The following is a 9,107-nucleotide window of genomic DNA, read 5'->3' on the forward strand; positions in this document are numbered from 1 at the left end:
GGGAATGCAACTTGATGCTCCCTTCCTTTGATTTCTTAGTGTGTCGCCAAAGTCCAGAAGCGTGGTCTAGACAGAGACGTTTCATGAGACGACGGGGTGGGTGGGAAGCCTCATGCTGAGAAAGAGGAAGAGGCAGAGTTTGTGCCATTGCTGTTCCTTCAGAGCAAAAACCAGGTCTTCCCTTTGTCTTATGAGACAAAACAGGGTCTCATATATGTACAGATCCAATAAATAAAGGTTGAAAATTTTAACAGATGTAAAGAGGACTGATAGGGAGACTGGAGACAAAAAAGAGACAAGGAGAGAAGCAGATAAGAAAGTTAAGGGAAGGAACAGAGAGACATTTACAGAGGAGGCAAGAAAGTGGATGGACCTGGAACTCTAGACAAATTGATTCCTATCTCCACAGCCTGCTTTTTCTCTATGCTCCAGACAAAGCTGGATTTGAATCCTGGCCTTACCTCTAATAGCTGTGCAGCCTTGAGCGACTCACTTAATTTCTCTGAGCCTTTATTTTTCTCATCCATAAAAATAGGATTAAAAACCTAGGGCTGGGCTCGGTGGCTCACGCCTGTAATCCCAGCACTTTCGGAGGCCAAGTTAGGCGGATCACTAGGTCAGGAGGTCGAGATCATCCTGGCCAACATGGTGAAACCCCGTCTCTACTGAATATACAGAAATTAGCCGAGTGTGGTGGTGCGCACCTGTAATCCCAGCTACTCGGGAGGCTGAGGCAGGAGAATCGTTTGAACCCGGGAGGTGGAGACTGCAGTGAGCCGAAATGGCGCCACTGCACCCCAGCCTGGTGAGAAAGCCAGACTCCTTCTCAAAAAAAAAAAAAGAACCCAAAAAAACCCCCCAAAAACCTAATTAAGGCCAATTGTAGTGGCTCGCGCCTACAATCCCAGTACGTTGGGAGGCCGAGGCGGGCAGATCGCTGGAGTGCAAGGAGTTCAAGACCAGCCTGGTCAACATGATGAAACTCTGTCTCTACAAGAAATGCAAAAGCTAGCCAGGTGTGGTGGCGTATGCCTGTGCTCCCAGCTACTTAGGAGGCTGAGGCGGGAGGATCACTTGAGCCTGGGAGATGGAGTTTGCAGTGAGCCAAGATCACCTCACTACATTCCAACCTGGGTGACAGAGCGAGGCCCTGTCTCAAAAAACAACAACAACAAAACACCTCACTTAAAGGTACTGATAATATGAAAGCATTTTGTATTGTATATGTTATTGCTCTTATTATCCTCGCATCTTCACTTGGGTTTCCCTGGTCAAGACAGTTGTTCCCTTTTCCTTCTCTGCAATATTAGGGGTCTTGCCACTTTTCCAGTCGTGCCTCATTGTACTGACCCCACAAGGCCTCCTGAATGGACATAGAAATGATTCTAATGGCTTGAATAGATTATTCTAAGAGGAATAGATGCCTCCCTAGTTCATGCTCAGGCTCATACCCCCTCCACCACTCTAGCCCTTCAAACTAGCTATTACAGCATCTTCCAGGTATTTAACTCCCCTTACTATCCCCATGAAAATGTAGACTCTGTCCCCAGTAATCATTGGAACAATCCAATTCAACTCAATGAAATAATACATATAAAAGTTCCTTGTAATTGTAAAGTGCTTTAAAAATATTAAATACTATTGACAACAATAATTCTTATTAAATAAATGAAATACCATATAACAATACCATATATTGATTACTTCCATATGCTGCAAAATAATTTTTTAAATGAGCATTAATATATTATGTGCTTGTAAAAGGCACACAAGGGATAAGAAAAGTGCATAAGTACATGTGTTTTCTCAGTGGAATTATTGTTCACATTTGGGAAGCTACTCTCTAAACTTGGGTAATTTCTCTACTCCTCTGGCTGTCTTATTTCTCCTTCGGTAATTATCTCTTCCCACTTCCTATTCCTTAGTAACACCCTCTCAATCAAATAGCAACCCTACTGCTCTGGAAGATTATCTCCCTATTTATCTGGATAAATACACGCTATTCTAAGAAATTATATTTATTTACTCATGGCTACTTTTCAACCTAGGTAAAGAGGCCCCACAACACAGGTAACATTTTCCACACTACAGCTGCATAACTCTGTTCTCTAATAATTGATGTCTTACCAGAAGAAGAAGGGATGGACCCAAGAGAGAAGTGGACACTTCTAAGAATACCCACAAATGACAAAGGTAGAATAAAAGGACACAAGGAAGGCCTAAGGAGAATGAAGGGAATGAGAGTAATATGGGGGAATTTTCTATGTAAAGGGAATTCTCTTTCCCAAATACTCTCTGTTAAGATTTCCAAGTATCTGTCTTGTGGGTACACCAGGATAGCAGAGGGAAGGGACTAATGCCACGGTGCTACTCCACCTTAACTGACCCTCCACGCTGAAGCCCCTCATCTCTATTTCAACTCTAGCATTCATTCTCCTTGCTACCAGGACAAAGGTCAAATCATACCTGGAGCTGGGAAACAAAGCCCTCTCAAATCTGAATATGTGTTTCACGAGGAGAGAGAGAGCAGCAGAGGGGACCACGAGGAAGGCAGAGATTCCCTGACCACCTCATGCCTTTGTACACCACTCGCCTTTACTCTCTGGATTAAACAGCATTAGGGAGACAAGAGAGGAAACACATGTGGTGTCTGGAGACCTGTGCCTGCCTGTTCCAGTCCCACACCCAGTCATCTCACCACACCCTTCACCTCACTTTACCTTCTCCTCCAGCACAGGAACTAGGAACTACGGAGAGAGAAGCCAAGGGAGAGGAGGAGGAGGAAACTAACGATTCCCTGCCCACCCCCACACCCAGCACCACCAACAGGTGGGCAAGCTTGCCGAGAAAACGCAGAGGGCATCCTGTGAGCAGCAAACACATCTGAGCCTGGAAAAGACGCAGAGAAGTAAAAGATCAAAGGTGAGGTAGGGGACGTGGAGGAAAGTGGGAGAGACAAAAGGAAAACAAAAAGTGGGGGATCATGAGAAGCAGAGGCAGGAAATAACAGGGCTTCAGACTTGGGTGCAGAATGGAGGTGGAGGACACAGCACAGATGGCATAAGAATTAATATTTCCTTGGTTCCTCCCAGGGAGTCCTTTCTCAACTTTGTAAGGCGTGCACAGAGGTGGCAAGGAAGCACCTTGCTCCTCTTCCTGGTTCTAAGGAAAAGGTGACCTTGAGCCAGTGGGTGTCTTTCCCAGTGCCTGCCTCTAACCCTGTGCTTTCTCCATATCCTCCTCTGGTATCTGTGTTTATTCCGCGGTTTCCCCGCGGCTGCCCCCGGGAGACCGAAGAGGTGGCTGGGGCAGGCCGAAAGCAGAGGAAAGGTTGGGCAGTGTCACCCTTGCACACCCACAGGGTAGACGGATCGAGTTTCAGCTTAAACCGAGGGGTGTGGGGGAAGGGTGTTGGGTTCAGCTAGTCCACGTGGGTGCTGTCCTCCACTTGGTGCTGAAATCTGGGCGGCCACATCCCCGGGGCGGGAGGGGGCTACATCCCCGGCTTTAGACGCGCGAGTCTCAGGTCCCGCTAATTACCTGGCGGGTGCTGCCCACCCCTGCCCTCGCGCACCTAGCGCGGTGGCAGGCGGGAAGGCGGGGCCTGGGGGAGCCCCACCCCTGGAGACTGCGGCTGGGGCCTCCCTCTCCTCCGCCCGCCCGCCTGCCACTAGCTCATTGCGCCTCTCCTGCAGTCTGATTGGCACCGGCTCCCATTCCGGCTCCAGCCTCCAATCCGACCCCCATTTCGGCTGCAGCCTCGGACCTAGCTCCGGCCCTCGGTCTATCCGGTTGCATCCTCCCTCCCTGTTCCGGATCTTATCTTGCGCCAGCGCCTACTCCAGGATCCCGTAGCCAGACCTCAAGCCATGGCTGGTCCCTTCTCCCGTCTGCTGTCCGCCCGCCCGGGACTCAGGCTCCTGGCTTTGGCCGGAGCGGGGTCTCTAGCCGCTGGGTTTCTGCTCCGACCGGAACCTGTACGAGCTGCCAGTGAACGACGGAGGCTGTATCCCCCGAGGTAACAGTGCCTGAGGCGCGGGAGGAGGCGGGGGCAGGAGGTGATGGGAACGAAGGTGCGGGTAGAAGTGAGAATCCGGGCAACAGAGAAGGGCTATAATCACGAAGGCCCTGGAGCTGGAGGGCTGTGCAGTCTGCAGACCTCAGTGGGGTGGGGGTGGGGGCCAAAACCATAAAGCAAGAACATTCCTGGGGACCTGCCAAGACCAGCTCTGGCCCTACGAGTTCTAGCTGCACTGGCTGCCCAAATCCCTAATTGTAAAGCCAGGAACTATCCTTTTCGCTCCCCTCCATCTCCTTCCCTCATTTCCTCAATTCCTCTCCTTAGGCTTTTCCCCTCCTCCATCCGTAGTGTTGTGTCATGGGAGGAAAGAACTGAGCAGATCTGAAGAAACTGAGCTGGCCAGCCAGAGGCAACTAGAACTATTAGGAAAGCATAGACTCTGAAAGTCCCTAAAGAGATTACCAAGGTTTACCCTCTTTCTAATTCCCCCTCCTCCCGCGGAGCAAAGCCAGACATGGCCAACTGGACAGCTCCCAGGTAACTGCACTAGGTCTAGGCGTCTGTGCCCTCCCTCCATGGTTACTGGGTACCCCCTCCCCAGCGCTGAGTACCCAGACCTCCGAAAGCACAACAACTGCATGGCCAGTCACCTGACCCCAGCAGTCTATGCACGGCTCTGCGACAAGACCACACCCACTGGTTGGACGCTAGATCAGTGTATCCAGACTGGCGTGGACAACCCTGGCCACCCCTTCATCAAGACTGTGGGCATGGTGGCTGGAGATGAGGAGACCTATGAGGTAGGGGGTCCCCAGAGTCTCCCTGATGATCCAATTCATCTTCCCAGTAATCCCAGCTCCTTTCCCCTAAAGACCTCTCACTTTCCCCCAAGACTCTGAGCCCCCCATACTTAAGTTTTCTGAACCAGTGAAATCAATGCACAATTGAAGTCTGGGGAGGGATTCCCTCTCCTTAACCATCTCTCCCTCTTAACTCCCCTTAGGTATTTGCTGACCTGTTTGACCCTGTGATCCAAGAGCGACACAATGGATATGACCCCCGGACAATGAAGCACACCACGGATCTAGATGCCAGTAAAGTGAGTTCAAATATCCCACTTCTGATTTGCATTGCCTGTGTACAACACTCTGTATCTCCAACCCCTTCACCTTATTTCCTGACTCATGGTCATTATACAGCTGAGCTTTTAATCTTAATGTAAGGAAAGAATCATATCTTAAGGGGCAGCATATATGGAGATGGAAGGATAGATAAGAATGACCATGACCCAAGGTGGGTGGTTTGGGGAAAGGTCTGCAATGCCCCCTTCAATTCCAGTGCTTTCCCAAAGGGCCTCTTCTTCCAATGCATGCAGGAAGAATGCACAAAGAGTCCTCTAATGCCTAAGGAAGGTCTCTCCTTTCCCAGGGGCCCTCAGTTCCCACCGTGTTTCTGTGACTTACATTCATTTCCCTTATCTCCCAGATCCGTTCTGGCTACTTTGATGAGAGGTATGTATTGTCCTCTAGAGTCAGAACTGGCCGAAGCATCCGAGGACTCAGTCTGCCTCCAGCTTGCACTCGAGCAGAGCGACGAGAGGTGGAACGTGTTGTGGTGGATGCACTGAGTGGCCTGAAGGGTGACCTGGCTGGACGTTACTATAGGCTCAGTGAGATGACAGAGGCTGAACAGCAGCAGCTTATTGATGTGAGGGCCTTAAGAGGGTGCTGGTTGGTGGGAGCAGATGGGGAAGGCTGGGCCAGATGAGACATGGGCTCTGAAAGGCCCAGGGGCCACCATGAAGATTCTTAACCCAAGTCCCGTTACTCTTCCCAGGACCACTTTCTGTTTGATAAGCCTGTGTCCCCGTTGCTGACTGCAGCAGGAATGGCTCGAGACTGGCCAGATGCTCGTGGAATTTGGTATGAAGCTGCTCATTACCTCTTTTGTCTTCATGCCCTCATAAATGCTTTTTTTCCCTCTATCTCTCCCAATTCTTGCCTTGCCTCTTGATCACTGTCCCTCTCCGGCCCTCAGGCACAACAATGAGAAGAGCTTCCTGATCTGGGTGAATGAGGAGGATCATACACGGGTGATCTCCATGGAGAAGGGTGGTAACATGAAGAGAGTGTTTGAAAGATTCTGCCGAGGCCTCAAAGAGGTTAGAGAAGATTGTGTAGGGGAGCTAGGTGGGAGGACATAAGGAAAACCAAAGAGTAGCATAAATAGATTATGTAATTTATCAACCAACCCAAGACATGTCTGATGGTAAAAAGGACTACCTAGGACTCACTCTAGGACTAAAGGTATAAACCAGCTGGGACCATACTGGGAAAACCAGGACATGTGGTCACACTAAGATTAGGAAAAGAGTGTCAGGAACCTTAGAAAGTGAAGAAGGCAGGTAATGCAAAGAAGGAATAACTGAGATGGCACGTCAGTGCCTGGGATGTGTGCAGTGGGATGGTGAGGTGTGCAGATAAGGAAAACATTCGAGCTTAGATTGATGTTGGCGGGGAGAGGTTGCTGTGTTCATGACTCTAATATAACCACCCAGTTCTGAGACAAGGTAGGCCTTGACTCTGGATTCTATCATTCTTGTTAAAGTATCGGGTCTAGGCTTTAAGTTGAGAGTTCAGAGGGAGACTGGGGAAGGTGGAGGATAGAATGGTTCGAGTTCTAGAATATGTGGCTCTAGATGAGAGGTTGAACTGAATCATCAATCCTACATGGATTGGGTCTCCGTATTCAAGTCTACATTAGAAATCCCCATAAACTCAATTCAATTCTTACTGTATGTTCTCAAACATACAGTTCTATTTTAGGTTTGCAAAGAAAAAGAGCTCCTCTTTTAGATTCTGAGAAGTTTCTACTATTTTTGGCAAGTAATAGATAACATATTCTGACTATGAGTGGGTAGGGAAGTACCTTTAAATTATATGCCTCAGTTTCCTCATCTGTAAAATTGGGATAATGAGATTTTCTACATTTTAGGTTGTTGTGGGGATTAAGTGAAATACAGGTAAAGTACTTGGTCCACAGTAAGTGCTTAATAAGTGTTAAAGTGTTAGCTGCAATATTATTCTGGATGGAAGAGTTTCCCCCCATGTTCAGCACATAAGATATCCCTGGTGGCATGGTTCCTTCTGAACTACAAACAGGATCCCTTTACTCATGTTGGATAGTGGTCTTTGTGATCATCACTCTGCTAGATCCCTTGTCTCTTGAACTCTAATAGTCATCTTCATGACTACATGGTTAATGGAAGCAAAATGCCTTCCCCCTGTCCCCTATTCCTATGAATCTGGCTTTCCTGCTCTGTTTTCATCTTTCTCTGCATTCACACAGGTGCTCCGTTCACAGCTAATAGAACGTTATCTCACCTCTTCCTGGCAAAGCTTACACCTTCATCTTCTGTCTGAAAGGACCCTTCCAAGCTCTAGGCTCATTAGCAAAGCAAAGATAATCGATGCATGCAGACCTCATTGAATAATCAGTCCTCTCTCAGTTCAGTTTACCACCTCTGTTCATTTCCCTAGATCATCCTTAATACACCACGCCTTCGAGTTTTCTTCTTCCACATAAGATATTTTTTCACAATCTCATTATTATGCACATCATAATTTTGCATCATGCATGCATGAAAACAATAACAAACCTTTTTCATTTAAAAAAAGACCAATGTCATTCATTCACAGCCAAGTTTCTATTCTAGACAAATTTCTAGTGTTCTTGTGGGTCTAGCTAAGGGAGGGTCCAGGGTTAATGAAATATCCCTGATTTTTCATTAATAAAAACTTTGTGGACTCAGGTGGAGAGACTTATCCAAGAACGTGGCTGGGAGTTCATGTGGAATGAGCGTTTGGGATACATCTTGACCTGTCCATCTAACCTGGGCACTGGACTTCGGGCAGGAGTGCACATCAAACTGCCCCTGCTAAGCAAAGTAAAGGAGTTGTGGGGTTACAGAGGGGTGTGAGTAAGGAAGGGTGGGTTGTGGATGGGGAGGGAGTGGACCCTTTGGAGAGGAGCCAAACATGTTGTGGCTAAAGGGTCAGAGGACAGGCCAGGCACAGTGGCTCATGCCTCTAATCCCAACACTTGGGAGGCCAAGGCAGGCAGATCATTTGAGCCCAGGAGTTCAAGACCAGCCTGGGCAACCTGGTGAAACCCCATCTCTACTACAAATACAAAAGTTAGCTGGGTGTAGTGGAGGCTGAGGTGAGAGGATCACTTAAGCCTGGGAAGTCGAGGCTTCAGTGAGCTGTGATCACTCCAGCCTGGGTGACAGAGAGAGACCCTGTCTAAAAAAAAAAAAAAAGAAAAAAGGAAAAAAAAAAGTTCAGGAGACAGAGCTCTGAGCAGGTTCAGGGCTCTTTCAGGTAGGACTAGTCTCTGCCTCTATTGACCCTGCTCCCAATCCCTATCTCCTCTCTAGGATAGCCGCTTCCCAAAGATCCTGGAGAACCTAAGACTCCAAAAGCGTGGTACTGGAGGAGTGGACACTGCTGCCACAGGCGGTGTCTTTGATATTTCTAATTTGGACCGACTAGGCAAATCAGAGGTGAGATCCTAAGGGATTAGGATGAGGAGAGGTATAGGTCTGTGGGGGCTGAAATATGGCAGTGAGTGAGCCTCCGGGATGTAACATAATCTGAAATGAAATTCAGGTTGAGTGGGGAGGCAATTGGAAATGAGCAGGCAAGTCAGTCAGTGATAAAGAAAAACTCAGACTGTAGGAAGCAGAGATCAAAGATTAGTGTCCTTCAGGTGGAGCTGGTGCAACTGGTCATCGATGGAGTAAACTATTTGATTGATTGTGAACGGCGTCTGGAGAGAGGCCAGGATATCCGCATCCCCACACCTGTCATCCACACCAAGCATTAACTCCCCATCGCCAGCTGATGACTCAAGATTCCAAGGAGTTCTGCTCATTCTAATGATGGCCCATTCTACTTGCTCTGGACCTGCCCTCGCATCCCCTGCCTCCATCCTAGTAAAGACTCCTTGCTATGCTGCAGCTGTCTGTGTTACTTCTAATGGTGGGGTGAGGAGGGAGCAGCCTTCAGGAAATGAAAAGAGGCAG

General features: G+C 48.4%; 1 protein-coding gene across 12 annotated transcripts, besides 2 other annotated features; it reads left to right on the plus strand.

The window, feature by feature from the left end:
* Positions 2,605 to 9,041, plus strand: CKMT1A (creatine kinase, mitochondrial 1A). 12 transcript variants are annotated; one of them, NM_001321927.1, is made up of 10 exons: positions 2,605 to 2,922; positions 3,696 to 4,018; positions 4,530 to 4,821; positions 5,025 to 5,120; positions 5,507 to 5,728; positions 5,858 to 5,943; positions 6,059 to 6,182; positions 7,833 to 7,967; positions 8,460 to 8,585; positions 8,792 to 9,041. In NM_001321927.1, the coding sequence occupies exons 2-10, from the start codon at positions 3,870 to 3,872 to the stop codon at positions 8,906 to 8,908; spliced, it is 1,347 nt and encodes a 448-aa protein (NP_001308856.1). In that variant the 5' UTR covers positions 2,605 to 2,922; positions 3,696 to 3,869; the 3' UTR covers positions 8,909 to 9,041. The 12 variants fall into 12 exon arrangements, 10 of the variants coding, with proteins under 10 accessions (NP_001308856.1, NP_001015001.1, XP_016877858.1 ...); NM_001015001.2 differs by having other exon boundaries at positions 4,623 to 4,821; XM_017022369.2 differs by having other exon boundaries at positions 3,759 to 4,018.
* Positions 3,497 to 4,331: an enhancer, noted in NCBI's record as "H3K4me1 hESC enhancer chr15:43985876-43986710 (GRCh37/hg19 assembly coordinates)". NCBI's record gives its function as "activates a minimal SCP1, AML or CMV promoter by ChIP-STARR-seq in naive H9 embryonic stem cells {active_cell/tissue: H9 hESC(naive)}" and the evidence as "EXISTENCE:reporter gene assay evidence [ECO:0000049][PMID:30033119]".
* Positions 4,332 to 5,165: an enhancer, noted in NCBI's record as "H3K4me1 hESC enhancer chr15:43986711-43987544 (GRCh37/hg19 assembly coordinates)". NCBI's record gives its function as "activates a minimal SCP1, AML or CMV promoter by ChIP-STARR-seq in naive H9 embryonic stem cells {active_cell/tissue: H9 hESC(naive)}" and the evidence as "EXISTENCE:reporter gene assay evidence [ECO:0000049][PMID:30033119]".
* Positions 9,042 to 9,107: the final 66 nt, after the last annotated feature.

The sequence above is a fragment of the Homo sapiens genome, chromosome 15 (assembly GCF_000001405.40).
Source record: "Homo sapiens chromosome 15, GRCh38.p14 Primary Assembly".
Taxonomy (NCBI): Eukaryota; Metazoa; Chordata; class Mammalia; order Primates; family Hominidae; genus Homo; species Homo sapiens.